Source organism: Homo sapiens, chromosome 3 (assembly GCF_000001405.40).
Source record: "Homo sapiens chromosome 3, GRCh38.p14 Primary Assembly".
In the NCBI taxonomy this organism is placed as follows: domain Eukaryota; kingdom Metazoa; phylum Chordata; class Mammalia; order Primates; family Hominidae; genus Homo; species Homo sapiens.
Genome location: NC_000003.12, coordinates 65,504,645 through 65,530,329, shown reverse-complemented (window position 1 = coordinate 65,530,329; position 25,685 = coordinate 65,504,645). Strand labels below are relative to the sequence as shown.

Here is a 25,685-nt window from a genome sequence, read left to right as displayed (position 1 = left end):
AGTTTGTGATGGAGAAAAGGAGTGAAAGACTCGCCTAATTCAGTGACATGGATGAATTAGCACTCGCCTAATTCAGTGACATGGATGACATTAATGACAGGTATCCAGAAAGTGACATTCAAAGTAGCACTCTGAACACTAGGGATCACCTTCTCTATTTTAACCTTGGATATGATTATGGCGTTGATCTTGCTACAGGTGCTTGCTGTATTTGTGCTATATGCAAGGTATTGCTTCATTCATTCATTCATGCATTTTTTTTCCAACAAATACCTACTGAATCCCTAGCTAGGCACTCTCACACATATATGGGTAATATGTAAACAGGTGGGATATGGAGAGGACTTAAAGTCATTTAAGACATTCCAAATGTGAAGGTGGGAGAGGGTCAAGATCAGCTAATGATGGAGAAAGAGAGGGAAAGGCCTTAACCAGGCAAGTATAGCAAAGGCTTACTACTGCAGAAATGAGCTACTGTGTGTATATTATATTTATGTATATATGTGTATATATTATATGTGTATATACATTTTTATGTGTGTTATGTCTGTATCCATATATTATCTATGTGTGTGTATACATAGGTAAAATCTATTTCACTCCTAGGTATGTACTCATAAGAATTGAAAAGATTTTTAAATAGAAACTCATACATGAATGTTCATAACTGCACATAATTCACAGTAGCCAAAAGTTGGAAACAACTTAAATGTCCATCAACTGATGAATAGATAAACAAAGCGTGGTATATCCATGTGAGAGAATACAACTGCTCAGCCATGAAAAGGAATTAAGTACCGATACATGCCACATTACATGCCTTGAAAACGTTTCACTATAAGAAACATCACACTGCAGGAAGACAGGCACAAATGGGTACATATTGTATCATTCCATTTGTATGAAATATCCAGAATAAGCAAATTCATAGTAGTTGCCAGGAACTTGGGGGAGAGGAGAACAGGGAATTAATGCTTAATGGGTATGGAGTTTCTGTTTGTGGTGATGAAATGTTCCAGAACTAGATAGTGATGATGGTTGGACAACATTATGAATGTACTGTCACTGAATTATACAATTTAAAATTGCTCAAATGATGACTTTTATGCTAAGTGTATTTTACCAAAATGTGAAAAGTATCTACTCAAAATCTCTTTCTTTTAACCTGGGAGCAGAAAGTCCAAGCCTTTTTTTTTTTATTTTAAAAAAAGAATATTTACCAATTAGGCATTACTTAATGACAATATTTTGTTTTTGTTTTTTGTTGGTTGGTTGGTTGGTTTTGAAACAGGGTCTCCATCTGTTGCCCAGGCTGGAGTGCAGTGGTGCAGTCTCAGCTCACTGTAACCTCTGCTTTCAGGGTTCCAGTGATTCTCTCACCTCAGCTTCTGAGTAGCTGAGACTAGAGATGTGTGCCACAATGCTTGGCTAATTTTTAAATTTTTTTGTAGGGACAAGTTCTCACTCTATTGTCCAGGCTGGTCTCAAACTTCTGGGCTCAAGCAATCCTCCTGTCTTGGCCTCCCAAAGTGTTAGGATTCCAGGTGTGAGCCACTACGCCTGACTCCATAGTATTTTGAATGGTAAAATAATGTTTTGGTACAGGGGCCAGTTTTTACCTTGAGAAGAGGGGAAATATTGGGAGTTGACATTTGCTGAGCATTTGTTCTCTGCTACACATCCTGCAAAGTGCTTAACTCTTATAGATTATCAAATTGAAATGATCACAACAGCCCTTTGTGATAGGTGATATTTTCTTCACATTACAGGTTCAGAAATTGAGATGCAGATGGTTCTGTGACCCGCCTTTTATCTTACTAAAGAGAGGTATAAGTTCATTGGAGTTTCCACTCCATGGGGACAGACACTACATCTCCTTATATATCCATGGTGACTTTAGGCCCTAGTCCCTGTCCTGCCATGGTGTATCTATTGAATCTCTTCCATGAATGAATGAAGGACTTCGGCTATGTAAAGTAGCACCATGTTTGACAGCAATTTCGCTGTGTTGAAAATCTTAGTTTTGAGAAACGCTTAGATAAATTTTGCAATATTGGATGAATTTTGCAATGTTATATCAATTTGTGACAGTTGACGTGGAGTGAAAGAAAAGCGAGGTAAAAATAAAGTGCTTCTGTTAGTTTTCAGTCTAAATTTCAGAACACCTTTTTCAAGGTGTTTCAGTTTTTTTCTTGATGTAAATGATAGCAGTGGAGCAAGGAGAAATTAAAAAGCCATTTTTTGTTAACTTATGATACTCTTAAAATCTTTGTAGTCTTTCACCCAACTGAAAAAAAGCAGTCTGTAAAAATGCCTTTGTTTTATGTGAAGATCAGTACTCCCCACCCCACTTTTTAAAAAATTGCCAATTGGTACTTCTTATGATCTCTCTTAAATATAATTAACTTTTTTTTTTTTTTCCTGAGATGGAGTCTTGCTCTATTGCCCAGGCTGGAGTGCAGTGGCATGATCTCGCAACCTCTGCCTCCTGGGTTCAAGCAATTCTCCTACCTCAGCCTCCTGAGTAGTTGGGATTGCAGGCATGCACCACCACTCCTGGCTAATTTATTTTTGTTTTTATTTTTTATTTTTATATACATTTTTTGAGACAGAGTCTCGCTCTGTTGCCCAGGCTGGAGTACAGTGGCCCAATCTCGGCTCACTGCAAGCTCTGCCCCCCGGGTTCACACTGTTCTCTTGCCTCAGCCTCCCTAGTAGCTGGGACTACAGGCGTCTGCCACCACACCTAGTTAATGTTTTGTATTTTTAGTAGAGACGGGGTTTCACCATGTTAACCAGGATGGTCTCGATCTCCTGACCTCATGATCCACCTGCCTTGGCCTCCCAAAGTGCTGGGATTACAGGTGTGAGCCACCACGCCCGGCCAACTCCTGGCTAAGTTTTATATTTTCAGTAGAGATGGGGTTTCACCATATTGGCCAGGTTGGTCTCCAACTCCTAACCTCAAGTGATCCACCTGCCTCAGCCTCCCAAAGTGCTGGGATTATAGGCATGAGCCACCGTACCCAGCCCTGAAATATAATTAACTCTGAACAATGTAAGTTAGGTGTGAGACTCAGTGCTCTTATGGTAGCATCCCAAGTTCGGCAAGCTGTGGAAATGCCAGTGTTAAGGGCTGGGTCTTTGCTTCCTAAAAGGAGCCACTGGTGTGACAAAGGAGCTGTTGCTCATCCTCTGCAATCTCAGCCTAAAAGCAGTGATTTAGGTTGGCTGTTTGAGAAGTCAAGACAATCACCAATGGAAGAAGAGAAGATACGTGAATCTTAGCCTTCCTAAAATATCATAACCATTCTAGAGTTTTTTAAAGCCTGCTTTCTTTGCTTTATATGTATCTTTCAGGCCTGGAATTAAGGACTTAATATTCTTTTTTCCTTTCTCACTCCTGCCTGCTGGTGGCCTTTGAAGGTCCCAGGAGTTACTGTTAATGATTGATGGCAAAACTGGGCGCTAACAGCTGTGGGTTGGATGACCGTTTAATTTTTTAACTATTAGAGGATTGTAGGAATGTTTAATCACCAAGTTACCCACAATGTCAGTTGAGGGAATGCTCCCATCATAGCACTGAAAGAGTCAGGCCTGTAAAAGGTAGCCTAGAAATCCCCCTCTTGGTTGTTCTTGTATTTAAAGTGATGAGAAGGTGGGTTAAATACAGTGGTCTGGGCATGTGAGGAGAGAATTGGGCTTTTCACTTTATAAGCAATTGCAGGTATGTCCAATGTGTTATTAAGGTAATTGAACTGCATTTCCATAAAGAGGATAGTTTCATTACCAAATTCTTTCTTTAATACTGTCATAATGGCAGCTGTAGCACATATAAACTAATTTGCATGCAGATAAAGAATTCTGGGCAGCTTGGTAGCATAATTGCTGCATAACATACGTTGCAAGTAAGAGCTGGAGCTTTTACTAGAGGTATGCTTGTGGGACCCATCTCTCTGACTTTGTTAAATTTCAAATGAAATACAATCAAGGAATAGCCATTTCAGTGACGCCCCATTTGTTTTACAGGCAGTAACTTCCCAAGTTACCTTAATTTGAGCAGTCATTTTGGCAAAAAATGGCAAAGATGTCAACAACACCTTCACAGTGAACTGAACATCAAGGAGGGCAGGAAAAAAAGAAAAGTGAAACAAGCATATATCCCACCCTGCCGCCACTGGAGTGGAAAAGCACAATAAATATTTCTCACTTGCAAATCACATTTATTAGGTGATGTAGATTATGATAGAAGTGGAGAATTTACCATGAGTTATTTAAAAACTAATTACATATAACAAAAGATTCTTTGTTTTTGCAAAGATTAGGAAGCCTTTTTCCATATACATTTTCTATAAATTGTGATTTCCCCCTGTGACTTGGTGAAGTTACTGAAGTCCCCAGCAAAGTAAGCAATTAAAACAGGGGACAATGTGTGCCTCCCTTATATGGGGCACGCTGATTGAACACAGTGGGTATTCAGGAAATAATACCTACTAATTGTATACTTGTACAATTGTGATACCTAATTGTATAATTAATAAGTGGCTTCCCACCATCAAAACCCAGATGTTGAGTTAAGCACATTCTACCGCTATATTATTGACAAGGTAAGTTGTTTTGTTCTTTTGTTTTTTCATAAATTTTTACAACTCAGGGGCTCTCTGTGACTGTAATTGAATGACCATGTAATTATAATCTCAGATGATTATACAGTGCTTATTCCAGACCAGAGCATTCGTTGAAAGTAAAGATGCCATTTTATTTTACCATTTCAGAAGCCATGTTAGTGGACTTAAAAACTCAACATTCCAAACAGAACATTTCTCAGATTACTGTTGATTCCTTAGTGAGGATGAAATCTTTGGGTAGCATGTGTGTATCTTAGTTCTACAGATTTTAAAAGCATTCCAAAGGTTAGTCAGTTGTTTCTCTGCAGATTATCCCAGTACAGCAGACAATGTGTTTGGCTACAAATACTGTAAAGGAGAAGAGAGAAAAAGAAAAACCTACTGAGGGTTGAGGGTGTTTGTGAGGGTCATATTGAAGCAGAGTTGCAGATTTGAGAAAGGTACTCCTCTGCTCAGCATGTGTCTGTCCATAGAGAGGTGGTGTGGCTTTGACATCGGTGCAGTGGGATAGTAGTGTCTGGCAGTCTTGCTGATTGATGGCAGTGAGCTGGAAATGGGTGCATTATAGGGAGATGAGAATGTGTAAATTTGAGTCTAGGGATGCAATTCCAAGTAGGTGTTTGAAATTATGACTGAGGGTGCTGGAGCCAAGGGGAGAGGAGAATGATTTCTAGCAAGCAGCACAAGTGAACCTCGATGGTGAAATAATTGTTTCTGGAAGACAAACGTGAGGCTGCACCTCCAAGTCCTGTGGCTTGAGTATTTGATCTAAAGGGTACCATTTGCAGATCATTAATGGGCTGGGTTGGGACCTTTGCCAGTTTTCCTATTACATGTTTCTGGATCCTGGCCAAAACCTTGTGGATGAGATCCAACCTCCAGAGAGAGCCCCTTGGAGCTGAGAGAGAGTTAGAATGCGAGTGACCACTAGGAATTCTGCATGGCCTGATGTATCAGATATCCACCTGTTGCGATCTATCATTCAGCCTATCTTGGTTCTGCAGTAGAGTCTACATAACTTCAATGCCCTTCACTATTTTCAGACTCACACACCAGGGCAGCAGAGTAGGATGTGTTGACACTTTGTCGACTGGGATGCATTTATTCATTGTTTCTACATCCTCGTTTCTATTTGAGCATGGTCCACTGTGGAATTGAATGATGCACTGAAACCCTTCCATATTTGCTTTGGGAATTTGACAAAAGACAGTCCAATTTACCCTACATGTCTAACTTTTCTATAAGAGTAATGAAACATGACTAACATATATTAAGTCCTGTAAGTTCCCAGTCCTGTGTGAGAGAAACTTTCTATTCATTATTGCTTAGACATTCTTACAGCAATTTTATGAGCTGCTGATTAGAAAAGAGTACTTCTGTTTTACCTATGGCAATTGTTTTTCTTCTCTTGAAACCTATGAGAGACTCCATCGTTTCCAGATAGAATGCATCAGATATTTTCCACTGGGTAGTATTGCCTGTTGCCATTGTACACCAACTTTGTGATTTGAGAGTACATAGTAAAATGTTCGTTGTGAAAGATTGCTGTCAAAACTTTCCCAAAGACCAAAATCAACTTTTCATTCTTCCTTCCTACCTTTCTTCCTTTTTCCTTTTCTCTTCCCATTTTTCCTTCCTTTTCTTCTTGCTTTCCTTCCCTTTCTGCTTTCCTCTCTTCCCTTTTCAAAGTTTCATTGAGCATTTGCTTTGTAACAAACACTGTAGTAACTTGAGGTCTGTGTTTCATGTGATCTTTGCGTTTGAATTTCTGTTGGTGACAGCAGTAATAGGACATCATAAGCTCTTCTGTAGCGTGCACTCTCAGGCTTCTTACTCTGAAAGTATTTGTGCTGGTGATTTTAAATGATACAAAATTGTAGAAGGGATATTTTTACCCCTAAGGCTAATTACTGTTTGTGTTTCACTTCTAACCACTATTTCCAGTTATTTCCAGGACTGAGAGAAAAATTCTTTCTTAAAATACTTGTGCAGTTGAGTTCTAACTTACATATGAGTTCCTTTTCAAGCACATGAGGCAAACAAAATTGTTTGAGGTCAAGATTTCCCTTGAAATTCTCTTAATCTGTGCAATATCTAACACTCCATGGAACAGGATGCATGTGAAACAGAGACTAGTGGGAGAACAGCCTCCAGTCACCTGGTCACTCCAGGACAGAAGTTCATTTACAGGGAGAAACAACACTACTCTTTAACTTTCTTTTTTTTCTTGCATTCTTTGCTTTTTCTTCCCTCCCCCACCCCTTGCCTCCCTCTCTTCGCCTCCCTCTCTTCCTTTTTAAAATTTCTGACCTTGCTTATATTATTAAGGTTGCCACATTAAATGGTGTTTATAGTGACTCCAGTAACCCTCTGTTGAACTTTCACAGTTGTGTAAACTAGAGCATGGCCTCATGAAACATTCCTATTATCTGAATTAGAGTTTTCTACTCTTGAGATAAATGGTGGGCATGCATTAGTTCAATAATAATTGGCTAATATGGTAATAGTATCATACACAGTAAGATTATATGTATTTTATTGGTTGACTGTGGTATAAAAGACTCTGGCAAACATAATATGTGTGCTTAGACTCCATCTTTAGCACCCAGGAAATATACATTCTGGTTGAGGAGATCAGTAAGGGTGTCATTCCAATGGAGAGTGGGATATTCTAAAGTGTGGGAAAGGAATGAATGCTATGAGAACCCATAGTAATGATACTAAGCCCAACCTTTTTGTATCAGACAAGGTTCCTGGAGGAAGTGATGTGTAAGCTGAGCCTGAAGCCAAAAAAACATATGGGAGTCTTCCCACCCCTACTGCAGCAGGAATTGGTGGCATAAATATTTTTTTGGTAGTGGAATTATAGGTATAGAATCTCCAAGTGCAGACAATCAAACTAAGTGCCAGAAGTACCACATTCAGCTAAATTAGCCAGGGCTTGTCTGCCTTTGAAGCATTTACTTTGGGGAGAGGTTTGTGGGGAGCTAAAAGTACCCAAATTGAAGTCTTGAGTACTGACACCTATGACTGGGGAAGAAACGATGAGGAGGTCATAAAGAAACTTTCAAAAGCTTGATTGACAGAATTTGTGTTTTACTGTGTAGAGTTTGGGAAGCTACTGGAGGGACTTTAAACCGGTAAGTGATGTAATTAAATTTGTATTTGTTGTTGTACACTGGGTCTAGAAAGTGTACCCTTTCTCATACATCATTGTGAGATTTCATCCTGAACTTGGCTTTATGTAGGGGAGAAAATGAGAACAGGAATCCTTTCTTGATTTAGAGATCCTTTAAAAACCCAAGTAAGTTACCTATGAGATTAGGGAAAGTGGTACTTAAACTCCAGCAGCCTATGCTTGTGCTTATAGAACACTAGTCCTATGAAATGCTCCGTGAAGAAAGAGTTGGGTAAACACAGCATAGTTTATTCTTTTTGGAAACTCTCAATTAATATCAGCATATTCAACACCTTTGAGAAGTCTTGCAGTGAAGAATTCTTTTTAATTGGGTTGAACTCAGTGCTTTTTGACATTATTTGACTCATATCTCATTATTGCTGGATATATATTAACACTTTTAGGCCATGTTGTGGCAGAAAATACTGCTCTTGGTGAAGGCCATTGTAAGAGTGAAGGAGGGTATGAAATTCCGTTTGGATTTTTTTCCTCTGTGATAGTATTCCCTCTGTATTGCTACTTTTCTGTTATAATAGAGATTTGGGAACTCATCATTACCTTAAGCTTATGTAGCTATGAAGAAGAATAGAAATGTCAGAGGAACACATCCCAGATACATTAAGTCCCATTGAAATAAGCAATCAGATTAATCACCATTATAATTTAAAATAGCAAAGCTATGGTTTATGCATCAGCAGAGAAATGGTAGCTTCTTTGTAAAAACTGAGTTTTCTGATTGTTATCCTATAATGACTTTCTAATGCCTTACAACATAACATCCAACTTTTCATAAAGCTCTTGGGCCTGAAATGACTCATTAATGTATGGCAAAGAGTATAACATTTATTACCATGTAACAACCACCCAAGAGGAAGATAAATCACTCAGGAACTCAGGTATGCATATTTACATTAAAATAGTGAGTTTTCATTGTCCATGAATATTCATTGTATTGTATATTAATACTCAGTAAGTAATACAGGCCTCAAGTCAATATTCCCTGAAATCTATATTTCATAAACTAATGGCATGTTGGCATATGTATTTAAATATTTATTAAACCAATTCTAAACATCTCTTGTACTTGCTCCTAAATCGTGGGCTATTGATATTTTTAAAGCAGCATTTCTTTCCAACATCCTTCCAGTGATATATCTTGAAGGCTGGTTGTTTAATATAGAGATATATGCTAGGAGGTTTCTCTGTTTTGTTATAGCTGTGAGGTCAGAATTTTATTGCTTCTGGCTAAAGGCCATAGAAAGAGTTTTATTGTTAAAAATCAGTTCTCTATTCAGCGTAATCTCTGTAATAAAGTGGAAGTGGGATGTGAGTAGTATCTCTAACAGAGATCTGTTATCAAGCTTAGGTTAATAAAGTGGTAAATTGATCCTTCTGTTTGAAGTGCCTTCCACTGTCTGTGGTACATATTACATCTCACATCTAGACTTATATAATGGGGTTTGCACTAATTGTCAGCAGCAAGATTTGGGATGGATTGATAAAATCATGCCCTTTTTCCTCTCCTTGAATTTGCAGAATCTCTTAAGTTGGTGTCATAATAGTTTGCCCTCCACTGAATTGGCTAATATGTTTGCCAAAATAGATGTGATAGTGTTAAAATTTTGGAAAGCTATTTTGCTGAGGGTTGGTGATATTGAGTTAGCTCCCATGACTACCATGGTTTATAAGTCACGAAAGGCTTCTGAAAGGCAGTCTGGCAGTTAATCCTATGACATCTTAATAAACACTGTTGATGCATAGAAGATGGCTAGTCAACTGTGGCTCTTGTTTCTCCTGGGACTATAACTCTTTTTGCATCTGGCCTCTTAATGTAGTGGAAATCCGGGAGTTGTGCCACAGAAGCTTCCATTTTTGAGAATGTTGAATGATATGGTGCCATTTTTAAAATGGTAAAAAATCAATCCTATTAATAGCTCACTTTTTTTGAGTACTCATTAAGTGTCAGGCATGGGGCAAAGCATTTTACCTACATTATCTCCTTGTAACCTCACAATATCTCAAGAAACTAGGCCCCATTACTCTTCCCATTTGCAGATGAGGTAACTGACTGAGGTTCAGGAAAACTAATTAATTTGCCAAGGGTTACCTGTTAAGTGATACAACTGTGTTCAAATATAAGTTTTTCTGGCTCCAAAACCCCAAGTTCTTAACCATATTATTGAAGGATCTTCCACATAAGTGCATTAGGAACTATCTTTTCCCTTACGGCTAGTTTGAGCTATCGTGAATTCTTTTTTTGGTTATCTGTTGCTGTGTCACAAATCACTCCAAAACTTAGTGGCTTAAAAAATAATAAGCATTTATTTTGCATATGAATCTGTAATTTGACTAGGGCTCAGCGGGATGGCTTGTGTCTGTTTCAGGAAGAGTAGGTGGGGTGGTTCAACGGGATCTAGCCAGTCCACTTCTAAGATGGCCAACTCATTTTGCTGCAAAGCTGTGCTGGTTGTTGGCTGGGAGCCTCCTTTTTTCTCCTTGTGGGTCTCTCCAGCTTTCTCCGAGTGAGGCAGTTATGTTCTAAGAGCTGCTGTGCCAAAGGACCAAAGCAGAAGCTGCAAGTATTCTTCTCACCTAGCCATGGAAGTAACACAGCACCATGCCTGCCTTATTCCTTCAATCAAGCAAGCCACTAAGGCCAACACAAATACACAGGGGGTGGAATTGGACTCCACATCTTAATGGGAAGAATAACCTATCACAATCTGTAACTTCAATTACTGTAATAACCACCAAACTGTTGTTCCTCTTTCCACTCTAGTCCATCATAGAGTTTATTCTCAATTCAGTAGATGGAGTGATCTCTTTAAAATCTAAGTCAGGGCCAGGTGAGGTGGCTCATGCCTGTAATTCCATCACTTTGGCAGGCCAAAGTGGGTGGATCACGAGGTCAGGAGTTTGAGACCAGCCTGGCCAACGTGGTGAAACCCTATCTCTACTAAAAATACAAAAATTAGCCAGCCGTGGTGGCAGGTGCCTGTAATCCCAGCTACCCGGGAGGCTAAGGCAGGAGAATCACTGGAACTGAGGAGGCTGAGGTTGCAGTGAGCCAAGATCGCACCACTGCACTCTAGCCTGGGCAACAGAGCAAGACTCCATCCAAAAAAAAATTATATATATGTGTGTGTGTGTGTGTGTGTGTGTGTGTGTGTGTGTGTGTGTGTGTGTGTCAGATCATGATACTCCTGTGATGAAAACTTTCCAGTGGCTTCCCATCTTCCTCATAAGATACAAAGTCCTTATGGTGGCCTCTATCTCTCTGTGTTGTCAAGTCCTCATTGTCTCTCTGATCTATTAGGTTGGTGCAATAAAGAAAGTAATGGCAAAAACCGCAATTATGTTTGCCCTAACCTAATAACATCTTTCTCTTACCCCACCCACTCTGCTTCTTACTGTAATTCAAACACATAGCTTGCTCCTGCCTCAGGACATTTGCGTTTGGTGTTACCTGTTGTGCCTAGAACACTTCCAGGCCTGGCCCATGGCTCCTGCTCTCATTTCCTTTAGTCCTCTGTGCATATTTTACCTTCTCAGTGAGGAATTCCCTCATCATGTAAAATTGTAATTCTACTTCTACTTCTACCATTGAAAATTTCCTACCACTCTTATTCTGCTTTTTCTCCCTCACGTTAAGTGACATATTGCATATTTACTAGTTTATTTAATGTGTATCTCTACTGACTAGAATATCAACTCCATGGAGACGTAAACTCGGTTTATTTATTTATTTTTTTTTTGCTGCATCTACCGTCTTCAACATTACTTGGCACATAGTATGTGTTTAGTACATATTTGCTGAAACCATAGAGGATTTCAACACAGGTTTTAATTTTTCATGGTGTCGATGTTTGTGAAGTATTTTAATTTGTGACTATAACAATGTCTCATAATACCACCAAATCAAATTTGGCTTAACAGCTATTTGGGATTCCAAGTCACATCAAGGAATTTAGGGTACAGGATCCCACTGAGATCACTACTAATTCCCATCTCCTACCTTTTCTTGTGGGAAGAGCAATAAAATGTCCAAATGATTATTTTCTCGTGAAGTTAAGCCCCAGTGTACCTTTATTTCCACGAAAAATCATGCAATTACTGCGTGCCTAGCCTGCGCTAGTCACTGAAGATGTAGTGGGACAGACACAATTCTAATTCTTATGATGTTAATATTATGGTGAATAAGAAAGATAAATAAATATACAGATACAGAAAGTCATTTTACAGATTGTAAAATGTGCCGTGGTAGACTTATGCAGTGGTCTGTGAAGGAGAACTAGAGGGGATCTACTTTAGTTAGGGTCAGAGAAGCCTTTGGGGTTAAGATAGTCTTTAGGCTGAAACCTAGACAATGTCTTCTGGTTAGTTTTAAGCTGCTAACTAGAGGGATACATTCATTCAGCTGATGTTTATTCAGCACCTAATATGGACCAGATACTACTCCAGGTGCTTAGGATTCAACAGTAATGAGACAGACAAAACCCTCTGTTCTAATGCTACTGTGGAAAGATTATTTTCTAAATTTTGTTTAAAAATCTAAAGTTATTACATATTAAGTATATCATTTGGGATCCAGTCAAGAAAGCAAAAATCATACTAGGTTTTTCAACAGAGGGACTCTGTTATGGGGAATTGGTGTTGGAGATCTGAAAAAGCAGAAAGAGAGCTCTGAGGTCACACAAAGGAAATAACTTCAGAAAGCAGCCTGCATGGTTGGGTGGGAGGATCAAAATAAAGAGTTTGGAGTTGTTTGAGTCTCGAGGCTCAGAGGAGGGATCCCTGTGGCAGAGAGCTCAGATGTCCGAGAAGGTGGCACTGGTACCTCTTAGGATGCGATGAGACTGACTCGGGAGTTGGAGACTGGAACCAACTTATGCTGCCAGGGCGAAGGGCCTCTGCTGGGGACATACTGACAGGAACAGCAAACATATGGGAAGTAGCTAGTCCACTCTGACCTCCCACTTTCTTCAGTTTTCCCCTATTGCAGAATAATCCTGGGAAATACAGTTTGTAGACTCCTAACTTGAGCATTGCAGAAGAGTGTTTGGAAGGGTAGATTTGGAGCCAAGCCACTAGTTTAATAACCAGCAGAGATGTTGATATGTGCTGTGGAGAAAGATAAAGCAGGATAGGTAGTTCAAGGGTGGGAGGAAGAGCTTACGATTTACAGTAAGCCATTAGGAAGCTCTTTACCAAGAAGGTGACATTGGAGCAAATTCTTGAAGGAAGTTTGGGAGCAAGCACTGGGGCTGTCTTGAGAAAGAGTGGCCAACTGAGACAAGAGTGTTGTAGGGAGGAGTAATAGCAAGTGCAAAGGCCCTGAGGCATGATTCTTTCTGGAGTAGTCTAAGAATAGAGGACAACATGCTTGATGCAGAATGAGATATGAAGCCAGGTAGTGTAAAATTTTAGAGCTTAGCTTCCAGAGTAGGAAAACCTGGGTTTTAATCCCAGTTCAGCCCCCTTAAAGAGGTGGGATGGGGCCGGGCGCGGTGGCTCACGCCTGTAATCCCAGCACTTTGGGAGGCCGAGGCGGGCGGATCACGAGGTCAGGAGATCGAGACCATCCCGGCTAAAACGGTGAAACCCCGTCTCTACTAAAAATACAAAAAAATTAGCCGGGCGTAGTGGCGGGCGCCTGTAGTCCCAGCTACTCGGGAGGCTGAGGCAGGAGAATGGCGTGAACCCGGGAGGCGGAGCTTGCAGTGAGCCGAGATCCCGCCACTGCACTCCAGCCTGGGCCACAGAGCGAGACTCCGTCTCAAAAAAAAAAAAAAAAAAAAAAAAAAAGAGGTGGGATGTACTATGTTTCTTCCCAAATCCTCATTTGAAAAGTGGGCTTATTTTAGTATTTTGCTCATGATTGTGATAAGGTTTTAGGGGAAAAGAGAGTACAAAGTACTTGCAGTGCCTGACATGTAGTAAGTGCTTTATAACTCTGTTGTGGTGATAGTGATATTAACAGACCTCTATTATTAGTTAAGTGCATGCTACTATTTATTATTATTATACTTTTAAAAAGAGACAGGGTCGGCCAGGCACGGTGGCTCATGCCTGTAATTCCAATGCGTTGGGAGGCCAGGCGGGCGGATCCCAAGGTCAAGAGATCGAGACCATCCTGGCCAACATGGTGAAACCCTATCTCTACTAAAAATACAGAAATTAGCCGGGTGGGGTGGCACATGCCTGTAGTCCCAGCTACTTGGGAGGCTGAGGCAGGGGAATCGCTTGAACCCAGGAGGTGGAGGTAGCAGTGAGCCAAGATTGGACCACTGCACTCCAGCCTGCCAACAGAGCAAAACTCCATCTCAAAAAAAAGAGAGAGAGAGAGAGGGAGACAGGGTCTTGGTATGTTGTCCAGTCTGGACTTGAACTTCTGTGCTCAGGCAATTCTCTCACCCTCAGCCTCTTGAGTAGCTGGGACTATCAGTGTGTGCCACTGCACCCAGCTTATTATTACACTTTTTAAAGGACCCAGAGCTTGAAAACTAGGGCAAGAAATTGTTTTTGATAATTTCTGCTATTTCAATTCCCTGTGCCCCTGTAAAGATTTTTGAACTGTGCATCAGTCAGTACTGCCTTCTCCAATAAACTTTATGATGTGTTCTCACCCTCATTTTCAGCATTTGTGTAACCTGAAGCATGTAAGTGCCAGGCTTGCTGTTGTGGTTGTAAAAAATAGCAATACCTTTTCTCTGTAAAGTATTGGACCATATGATTTGGTGTTGATTACAATGAAGCCTGAAGTGACAAGTGACAATTCTGATGGCTGAGAGTTTGGCTGAAGATTCCCAGAATTCATCCTGGGCCATGGGTTGGTGCCATAGACTTTGGATACTTAACTGTTGATAGGGTTTATTTCTGGATGGTGGGGGTACTTGTTGTCTTTGTGTTCTTTCGTAGATTCTACATTGTCTACAGCATTAACTTTTTATATCTGAAAAGAGAAATAAGGGACAACTACCAAAGATTTGATCAGGCCCTATTGTGTGAATTTTATATTTTCCATGGCTTGCTTTTAGTGTAAGTGTCATTCATTGACATTAGTTAGTATTCATTTAAGCATTTAGAAAGCCACTTTTTTTCTTAGATGTTTCATTTTCTGTTTTGCTTATGTAAAACAAAACAAAAAATTCTTGCACAACATTTTATAAAGTGGTTAATTTAAAAAATTGCTGTCTTCAAATGTAACTTTTTTTTTTATACTTTAAGTTTTAGGGTACATGTGCACATTGTGCAGGTTAGTTACATATGTATACATGCGCCATGCTGGTGTGCTGCACCCACTAACTCGTCATCTAGCATTAGGTATATCTCCCAATGCTATCCCTCCCCCCTCCCCCCACCCCACCACAGTCCCTAGAGTGTGATATTCCCCTTCCTGTGTCCATGTGATCTCATTGTTCAATTCCCACCTATGAGTGAGAATATGTGGTGTTTGGTTTTTTGCTCTTGCGATAGTTTACTGAGAATGATGATTTCCAATTTCATCCATGTCCCTATAAAGGACACGAACTCATCATTTTTTATGGCTGCATAGTACTCCATGGTGTATATTTGCCACATTTTCTTAATCCAGTCTATCATTGTTGGACATTTGGGTTGGTTCCAAGTCTTTGCTATTGTGAATAATGCCGCAATAAACATACGTGTGCATGTGTCTTTATAGCAGCATGATTTATAGTCCTTTGGGTATACACCCAGTAATGGGATGGCTGGGTCAAATGGTATTTCTAATTCTAGATCCCTGAGGAATCGCCACACTGATTTCCACAATGGTTGAACTAGTTTACAGTCCCACCAACAGTGTAAAAGTGTTCCTATTTCTCCACATCCTCTCCAGCACCTGTTGTTTCCTGACTTTTTAATGATTGCCATTCTAACTGGTGTGAGATGGTATCTCATTGTGGTTTTGATTTGCATTTCTCTGATGGCCAGTGATGATGAGCATTTTTTCATGTGTTTTTTGGCTGCATAAATGTCTTCTTTTGAGAAGTGTCTGTTCATGTCATTCGCCCAGTTTTTGATGGGGTTGTTTGTTTTTTTCTTGTAAATTTGTTTGAGTTCATTGTAGATTCTGGATATTAGCCCTTTGTCAGATGAGTAGGTTGCAAAAATTTTCTCCCATTTTGTAGGTTGCCTGTTCACTCTGATGGTAGTTTCTTTTGCTGTGCAGAAGCTCTTTAGTTTAATTAGATCCCATTTGTCAATTTTGTCTTTTGTTGCCATTGCTTTTGGTGTTTTGGACATGAAGTCCTTGCCCATGCCTATGTCCTGAATGGTAATGCCTAGGTTTTCTTCTAGGGTTTTTATGGTTTTAAGTCTAACGTTTAAATCTTTAATCCATCTTGAATTGATTTTTGTATAAGGTATAAGGAAGGGATCCAGTTTCAGCTTTCTACATATGGCTAGCCAATTTTCCCAGCACCATTTATTAAATAGGGAATCCTTTCCCCATTGCTTGTTTTTCTCAGGTTTGTCAAAGATCAGATAGTTGTAGATATGCGGCATTATTTCTGAGGGCTCTGTTGTGTTCCAGTGATCTATATCTCTGTTTTGGTACCAGTACCATGCTGTTTTGGTTACTGTAGCCTTGTAGTATAGTTTGAAGTCAGGTAGTGTGATGCCTCCAGCTTTGTTCTTTTGGCTTAGGATTGACTTGGCGATGCGGGCTCTTTTTTGGTTCCATATGAACTTTAAAGTAGTTTTTTCCAATTCTGTGAAGAAAGTCATTGGTAGCTTGATGGGGATGGCATTGAATCTGTAAATTACCTTGGGCAGTATGGCCATTTTCACGATATTGATTCTTCCTACCCATGAGCATGGAATGTTCTTCCATTTGTTTGTATCCTCTTTTATTTCCTTGAGCAGTGGTTTGTAGTTCTTCTTGAAGAGGTCCTTCACATCCCTTGTAAGTTGGATTCCTAGGTATTTTATTCTCTTTGAAGCAATTGTGAATGGGAGTTCACTCATGATTTGGCTCTCTGTTTGTCTGTTGTTGGTGTATAAGAATGCTTGTGATTTTTGTACATTGATTTTGTATCCTGAGACTTTGCTGAAGTTGCTTATCAGCTTAAGGAGATTTTGGGCTGAGATGATGGGGTTTTCTAGATATACAATCATGTCGTCTGCAAACAGGGACAATTTGACTTCCTCTTTTCCTAATTGAATACCCTTTATTTCCTTCTCCTGCCTAATTGCCCTGGCCAGAACTTCCAACACTATGTTGAATAGGAGTGGTGAGAGAGGGCATCCCTGTCTTGTGCCAGTTTTCAAAGGGAATGCTTCCAGTTTTTGCCCATTCAGTATGATATTGGCTGTGGGTTTGTCATAGATAGCTCTTATTATTTTGAAATACGTCCCATCAATACCTAATTTATTGAGAGGTTTTAGCATGAAGGGTTGTTGAATTTTGTCAAAGGCTTTTTCTGCATCTATTGAGATAATCATGTGGTTTTTGTCTTTGGCTCTGTTTATATGCTGGATTACATTTATTGATTTGCGTATATTGAACCAGCCTTGCATCCCAGGGATGAAGCCCACTTGATCATGGTGGATAAGCTTTTTGATGTGCTGCTGGATTCGTTTTGCCAGTATTTTATTGAGGATTTTTTCATCAATGTTCATCAAGGATATTGGTCTAAAATTCTCTTTTTTGGCTGTGTCTCTGCCTGGCTTTGGTATCAGAATGATGCTGGCCTCATAAAATGAGTTAGGGAGGATTCCCTCTTTTTCTATTGATTGGAATAGTTTCAGAAGGAATGGTACCAGTTCCTCCTTGTACCTCTGGTAGAATTCAGCTGTGAATCCATCTGGTCCTGGACTCTTTTTGGTTGGTAAACTATTGATTATTGCCACAATTTCAGCTCCTGTTATTGGTCTATTCAGAGATTCAACTTCTTCCTGGCTTAGTCTTGGGAGAGTGTATGTGTTGAGGAATTTATCCATTTCTTCTAGATTTTCTATTTTATTTGCGTAGAGGTGTTTGTAGTATTCTCTGATGGTAGTTTGTATTTCTGTGGGATCGGTGGTGATATCCCCTTTATCATTTTTTATTGTGTCTATTTGATTCTTCTCTCTTTTTTTCTTTATTAGTCTTGCTAGTGGTCTATCAATCTTGTTGATCCTTTCAAAAAACCAGCTCCTGGATTCATTGATTTTTTGAAGGGTTTTTTGTGTCTCTATTTCCTTCAGTTCTGCTCTGATTTTAGTTATTTCTTGCCTTCTGCTAGCTTTTGAATGTGTTTGCTCTTGCTTTTCTAGTTCTTTTAATTGTGATGTTAGAGTGTCAATTTTGGATCTTTCCTGCTTTCTCTTGTGGGCATTTAGTGCTATAAATTTCCCTCTACACACTGCTTTGAATGCGTCCCAGAGATTCTGGTATGTTGTGTCTTTGTTCTCGTTGGTTTCAAAGAACATCTTTATTTCTGCCTTCATTTCGTTATGTACCCAGTAGTCATTCAGGAGCAGGTTGTTCAGTTTCCATGTAGTTGAGCGGCTTTGAGTGAGATTCTTAATCCTGAGTTCTAGTTTGATTGCACTGTGGTCTGGGAGATAGTTTGTTATAATTTCTGTTCTTTTACATTTGCTGAGGAGAGCTTTACTTCCAACTATGTGGTCAATTTTGGAATAGGTGTGGTGTGGTGCTGAAAAAAATGTATATTCTGTTGATTTGGGGTGGAGAGTTCTGTAGATGTCTATTAGGTCCACTTGGTGCAGAGCTGAGTTCAATTCCTGGGTATCCTTGTTGACTTTCTGTGTCGTTGATCTGTCTAATGTTGACAGTGGGGTGTTAAAGTCTCCCATTATTAATATGTGGGAGTCTAAGTCTCTTTGTAGGTCACTCAGGACTTGCTTTATGAATCTGGGTGCTCCTGTATTGGGTGCATATATATTTAGGATAGTTAGCTCTTCTTGTTGAATTGATCCCTTTACCATTATGTAATGGCCTTCTTTGTCTCTTTTGATCTTTGTTGGTTTAAAGTCTGTTTTATCAGAGACTAGGATTGCAACCCCTGCCTTTTTTTGTTTTCTATTTGCTTGGTAGATCTTCCTCCATCCTTTTATTTTGAGCCTATGTGTGTCTCTGCACGTGAGATGGGTTTCCTGAATATAGCACACTGATGGGTCTTGACTCTTTATCCAATTTGCCAGTCTGTGTCTTTTAATTGGAGAATTTAGTCCATTTACATTTAAAGTTAATATTGTTATGTGTGAATTTGATCCTGTCATTATGATGTTAGCTGGTTATTTTGCTCATTAGTTGATGCAGTTTCTTCCTAGTCTTGATGGTCTTTACATTTTGGCATGATTTTGCAGCAGCTGGTACCGGTTGTTCCTTTCCATGTTTAGCGCTTCCTTCAGGAGCTCTTTTAGGGCAGGCCTGGTGGTGACAAAATCTCTCAGCATTTGCTTGTCTGTGAAGTATTTTATTTCTCCTTCACTTATGAAGCTTAGTTTGGCTGGATATGAAATTCTGGGTTGAAAATTCTTTTCTTTAAGAATGTTGAATATTGGCCCCCACTCTCTTCTGGCTTGTAGGGTTTCTGCCAAGAGATCCGCTGTTAGTCTGATGGGCTTCCCTTTGAGGGTAACCCGACCTTTCTCTCTGGCTGCCCTTAACATTTTTTCCTTCATTTGAACTTTGGTGAATCTGACAATTATGTGTCTTGGAGTTGCTCTTCTCGAGGAGTATCTTTGTGGCGTTCTCTGTATTTCCTGAATCTGAATGTTGGCCTGCCTTGCTAGATTGGGGAAGTTCTCCTGGATAATATCCTGCAGAGTGTTTTCCAACTTGGTTCCATTCTCCCCATCACTTTCAGGTACACCAATCAGACGTAGATTTGGTCTTTTCACATAGTCCCATATTTCTTGGAGGCTTTGCTCATTTCTTTTTATTCTTTTTTCTCTAAACTTCCCTTCTCGCTTCATTTCATTCATTTCATCTTCCATTGCTGATACCCTTTCTTCCAGTTGATCGCATCGGCTCCTGGGGCTTCTGCATTCTTCACGTAGTTCTCGAGCCTTGGTTTTCAGCTCCATCAGCTCCTTTAAGCACTTCTCTGTATTGGTTATTCTAGTTATACATTCTTCTAAATTTTTTTCAAAGTTTTCAACTTCTTTGCCTTTGGTTTGAATGTCCCCCCGTAGCTCAGAGTAATTTGATCGTCTGAAGCCTTCTTCTCTCAGCTCATCAAAGTCATTCTCCATCCAGCTTTGTTCCGTTGCTGGTGAGGAACTGCGTTCCTTTGGAGGAGGAGAGGCGCTCTGCGTTTTACAGTTTCCAGTTTTTCTGTTCTGTTTTTTCCCCATCTTTGTGGTTTTATCTACTTTTGCTCTTTGATGATGGTGATGTACAGATGGGTTTTTGGTGTGGGTGTCCTTTCTGTTTGTTAGTTTTCCTTCTAACAGACAGGACCCTCAGCTGCAGGTCTGTTGGAATACCCTGCAGTGTGAGGTGTCAGTGTGCCCCTGCTGGGGGCTGCCTCCCAGTTAGGGTGCTCGGGGGTCAGGGGTCAGGGACCCACTTGAGGAGGCAGTCTGCCGGTTCTCAGATCTCCTTCTGCGTGCTGGGAGAACCACTCCTCTCTTCAAAGCTGTCAGACAGGGACACTTAAGTCTGCAGAGGTTACTGCTGTCTTTTTGTTTGTCTGTGCCCTGCCCCCAGAGGTGGAGCCTACAGAGGCAGGCAGGCCTCCTTGAGCTGTGGTGGGCTCCACCCAGTTCGAGCTTCCCAGCTGCTTTGTTTACCTAAGCAAGCCTGGGCAATGGCGGGCGCCCCTCCCCCAGCCTCGTTGCCGCCTTGCAGTTTGATCTCAGACTGCTGTGCTAGCAATCAGCGAGATTCCGTGGGCGTAGGACCCTCTGAGCCAGGTGTGGGATATAATCTCGTGGTTCGCCTTTTTTAAGCCGGTCTGAAAAGCGAAATATTCGGGTGGGAGTGACCCGATTTTCCAGGTGCGTCCGTCACCCCTTTCTTTGAGTCGGAAAGGGAACTCCCTGGCCCCTTGCGCTTCCCAAGTGAGGCAGTGCCTCACCCTGCTTCGGCTTGCGCACGGTACGCGCACCCACTGACCTGCGCCCACTGTCTGGCACTCCCTAGTGAGATAAACCCGGTACCTCAGATGGAAACGCAGAAATCACCCGTCTTCTGCGTCGCTCACGCTGGGAGCTGTAGACCGGAGCTGTTCCTATTCGGCCATCTTGGCTCCTCCCCAAAAACAAAACCCAAATGTAACATATGTTATGTGTTGAGATTAGGAGCTCTCTGGATTTCCCTACTGCTTCATTTAAATACCTGTGTTTTGTTTGTTTATTTTGATTGTTTTGTTTTGAAACAACCCATTGGAGGCCAAGGCAATAGCTTCAATTAAACACTTTGACTCTTTGCTTCCCTCTGGGCAAAAATGTGGGTTTCCCAGAAAATGAGAGCCTAACTGCTAGATAAATAGGTTAAGAGGCAAGTATCTGGTGAAAACTTCTTGTAAGAGCTCCAGGATCATGCATCGTATCACCAGGTCTTCCCTGGCTCACAGGAAGCTAATGGCAGTCTTACCCTGCTGCCAAATGGAGGAAATAAAGATTGCCTCTGCCCTCTCTTTGCCCTTGATCAGCAGTTGCTGTTGACAGGGATGACAAATCAGATGGAACCCAAGAGTGAGAACCAGTAAGCATTGTGTGATAATGACACTCACTTAATACACATGAAACAAAACACAACAAAAACAAAACTCCCCAGTTTTTTCTTTTGTTATTTATATGTCACAACAAAGGTATCCATTTCCTTTTAATGAAAATTATCTCTAATACAGATTCATTGACTGGATTGTATCTGGACTCACATTGGGTCCAGTTTGAATAGATGACAAAGGCATAATCTGCATTCTTGGATTAATGAGAATCCTATAGGCTTAAAGTAATGTGACTGTCTTAGAAGGCAAAGCACTCACCTGACATCTCTGAAATAAGGAAGGCTTGTTTGAAAAGGCCCAATTTCTATTAGATTCTATTTAAAGACTATTGTCTTTATATAACATAATAATTCAAAGTAACTTATAATAATAAAAGCTACTTGATTTTATTTATTTTTATTTTTATTTTTTTTTGAGACAGAGTCTCACTCTGTCACCCAGGCAGGAGTGCAGTGGCGCAATCTCGGCTCACTGCAAGCTCCGCCTCCCAGGTTCACGCCATTCTCCTGCCTCAGCCTCTGGACTAGCTGGGACTACAGGCGCCCACTGCCACGCCCGGCTAACTTTTTCGTATTTTTAGTAGAGACGGGGTTTCACCGTGTTAGCCAGGATGGTGTTGATCTCCTGACCTTGTGATCTGCCCGCCTCGGCCTCCCAAAGTGCTGGGATTACAGGCGTGAGCCACCGCGCCCGGCCGATTTTATTTTTTAAAAATTGGCCACTACTTTTCTGATAATACCGTTGATACCTCATATAGTATTCTAATGAGATAGTTATTTTTAAAGTCAGTGTGGGTAAAGACCAGAACTTGGGTTTATCACATCAGCACAGGCTTCTGTTCCTCACTGTCTGCATTTTCCAAGCAAATGTTTAGAAGCATTAGTAATTGGGTTTTTTATGTTGCTGTTGTTAAAAAAAAAATCACCTCTAAAAGCTACCTAATTTGGCTTAACAATGAGACTGAAAAAAAATAATTTCTATGACTCATCTATCTAGAAACTATATAGTCCATAACATAAAATGAGCTATAGTTGTAGCCAGAGAAGTACCACATAATGTGAGAATGTAATTGCTCACTGAAACATGAACTAATTGAAATGAGGGCAATAACAGTTAATCAGCTGGGTCTAAATGATTTTGCCGTTGCTCCAAGTCCATATATTTTTGGATTGTGATTTATAGTTATAGAGATCGTTGGCAAACATTAGATAAGGTAATGGAAGGGGCTGGGAATCAAAGCTGTAGTTTAGTTTTCTAGGAATCTGCTGATGTCATTATTTATGGGGGAAAACATAAGCATGTTACGAACAACACCAGAGTCCCAAGAGTGAAATCAGCTGCCTGAGAACCCATATTATGACCAGGCTAACACATGTGTTGTCTCATGTAATCCTCATACAATTTTATGTGATATTTAAATGCTCATGTTTCTCAGCCTTTGCTCATGAGACACTTTTTGAATGTTTGAGTTTTTGATGCCAAATCTAAAACCCCTTCAAGGTAAATACCACTATAAATATGAGGGAAAAAAGCATGTGTTAACAAATGGAAAGATATGTTCAGTTTTATGCTACTTACTCTGTAGACCTGCTTCAACATGATACTGCTGTGTGGCTAGAAATTTTACTGCCCCAGTAAGTTTTCTTCAATACTATGAAGACCATGCACAGGTAGTACTATAGTGTACCTTTCTTTGGTGTAGGCTTAGTATTGTACCCAATTCTTCTTTATTTTTTCAAGAAGTTATATGTTGCACTCTGTGGTATTTCCTCTTGTTTACTTTGATGTAGCCATATGTATACTTGATGGGAGTGAAAATAAAATTTACATGTTCGTGACTATTTCGCTGTATACTTGAGAAGGCTTCAGAACTATCATGCCTATGTCAACTGAGAACGAATGTATTTGTTAAATGGGCATAAACTCCTTTTTTCTTTTATCTGTTTTGAATTGCTATTGTAATTGCTTTGTTTTAGTCCTTGATACAAATTTATTTCTCGTTTTATATCTAGTTATATAATATTTGCTCAATAAATATCACATTCATTTAATTATAGAAGGCTTTGATTATGTGAAGAATAACATGGTTAACATGGAATTAGGGCAATTGAGATCCTCAAATTTAGACATTATATTTCAATAAGTAGGCATTTTCTTATGGATCCGTGCTAGTGGCTAATGACTAGAATGAGGGTATTTATAGAATGTGTTGACTTTGTGATTTCTTATTGAAAGATAATCCAAAAAGTTGTGGTTAGGAGCTATATAGATTCTTGTGTGACTTTGAAAAATGGTGATTAGGGATGGAAAATTTCATCAAGGTTGGAAAAATATACCCCTCTTGGAAGAATTAAATTAGGCATTATGTATAGAAAACCTGTGCTCTTTGTTAGAGATATAGTAAGTGATCCATAGTCTTCCTTCTTCCATAACCATTTCCCTTTAGAAGCACAGAGTATGTTGTTGGGGGCGGGCGTGGGCAGATACTGTTGTTGTCATGGTTAATGCATATTATGACCAGGTTAAGCATTTTACTTGTGTTATCTCATGTAATCCTCACACAGTCTTATGAGGCATGCATTATTATTATTCCCATTTTAGAGATGAGGAAACCAAGACCCAAAATGTTTACCTTGTCTATGGTTGCACAGTTTGCAAATACCAGAGCTGAGATTTGAACTCACCAAATCTGGTTGTAGATTTTTTAACAGTTTCTCTGGACTGCCATTCTGAAAGAGCTTTAGATCCCTGCAATTTTTAGGAAAACGACATAACATGGTCAGTGATTGCTGATTTCACTCTTTAAGTTCCCATATTGGGAGGACTAATGAAAGCAGCTGTTAAATTGATGAAGAGTAAATTATACTATTTATTATTATTTATGGAAATGTAACAATGCCTCAGCTAAATTATAATATTCATGAGAACAGTGATCATGTTTTGCCCATCTTTACATCTCTGCAGTGTAAGAGTTTTTTTAACAACTTTATTGATACACAATTTATACATAATAATATTCACTCCTTTAAAGTATATAATTCTTTAGTTTTCATTATATGCACAGAACTGTGCAACCATTGAAACGATGTAATTTTAAATAATGTTCATTATTCCCCAAAGAAACCATGTAGCTATTAGCAGTCATTCCCTATTATTATTATTATTATTATTATTATTATTTTAGACTTTGTCGCCCAGGCTGGAGTGCAGTGGCACGATCATGGCTCACTGCTGTCTCAACCTCTGCTGGTCTTAAGTGGTCCTCCCACTTCAGCCTCCCGAGTTTCTGGGACTACAGGCACGTGCCACTATATCTGGCTAATTTAAAAAAATTTTTTTAGAGACAAGGTTTCACTATTTGCATAGGCTGGTCTTGAACTCGTGAGCTACCATGCCTGGCCCCAGTTATTTTTTTTTTTTTTTTAACTAAGCAAGAAAGCTGCCGAATATTAGAAACATTCAGTATTTAGCATTAACCATGCAAAGTCACCTAATTTGTGGAAACTTGATATTCTTAATTAATCACAGCTTTTCACCAAAATAATTATTTTCTTTTAATATGCTTTTGAAAATTATCTGGTTGAAATTGTTGGAAGTAGTTCATTCCATTTTACACAAACAATTGCTATAATTAATCAGAGAAAGTGAAAGTATTATTACCTGCCATAATGGAGAGAGTCTATCTGCTCTCATCCCCTTTTCTCATAGACAACTTTTAGCGCTAGGGTATAGCGTTACTGGTTTCCTGAATCCCTCTTGGAACAAAAATGCCTTCAAGGATAATCCTCAAAAGTTGATTTCTGATAAATGTGTATCTAATGCTGAAGATTCTTATCCTTTATTTCCTGGATGCTTTTTAATACTGTTTGAAATGAATCAGTTACAACCTGAGAACTCTCATGTTCCTGACTTTAATGAATGCGAGGTTTCCATGAGTTTGTATGTGCCAAAGTTCCCTTCCCTGAAAAATGAGGAAAAATGGTTAATGTTCATGTTCAGGTTGACTTTCCTGTGGAATGTTTTCTGGTCCTCCTCAGTATTCTGGTTAAGAGGCAGTAAGACATAGTTCCTGACAGTTTAGGTTTGGGATCAAAGAGGTTGTGGGGAAGGGTTTTACCAGCTTTCTTCTCCCAGACCGTCAACTCCATCAGCTCCCTGCTATGTTTCCTGGAT

The 25,685-nt window shown here is 39.8% G+C and overlaps 1 protein-coding gene across 6 annotated transcripts in view, besides 2 other annotated features; it reads left to right on the top strand.

Moving 5' to 3' along the window:
• The window catches only part of MAGI1 (membrane associated guanylate kinase, WW and PDZ domain containing 1), a 685,393-nt gene that overhangs the window by 508,589 nt on the left and 151,119 nt on the right, over positions 1-25,685 (top strand). The gene's annotated exons all lie outside the window — the stretch shown is intronic.
• Positions 20,107-20,802: an enhancer, noted in NCBI's record as "NANOG-H3K27ac-H3K4me1 hESC enhancer chr3:65495203-65495898 (GRCh37/hg19 assembly coordinates)". NCBI's record gives its function as "activates a minimal SCP1, AML or CMV promoter by ChIP-STARR-seq in primed H9 embryonic stem cells {active_cell/tissue: H9 hESC(primed)}" and the evidence as "EXISTENCE:reporter gene assay evidence [ECO:0000049][PMID:30033119]".
• Positions 20,803-21,498: an enhancer, noted in NCBI's record as "NANOG-H3K27ac-H3K4me1 hESC enhancer chr3:65494507-65495202 (GRCh37/hg19 assembly coordinates)". NCBI's record gives its function as "activates a minimal SCP1, AML or CMV promoter by ChIP-STARR-seq in naive H9 embryonic stem cells {active_cell/tissue: H9 hESC(naive)}" and the evidence as "EXISTENCE:reporter gene assay evidence [ECO:0000049][PMID:30033119]".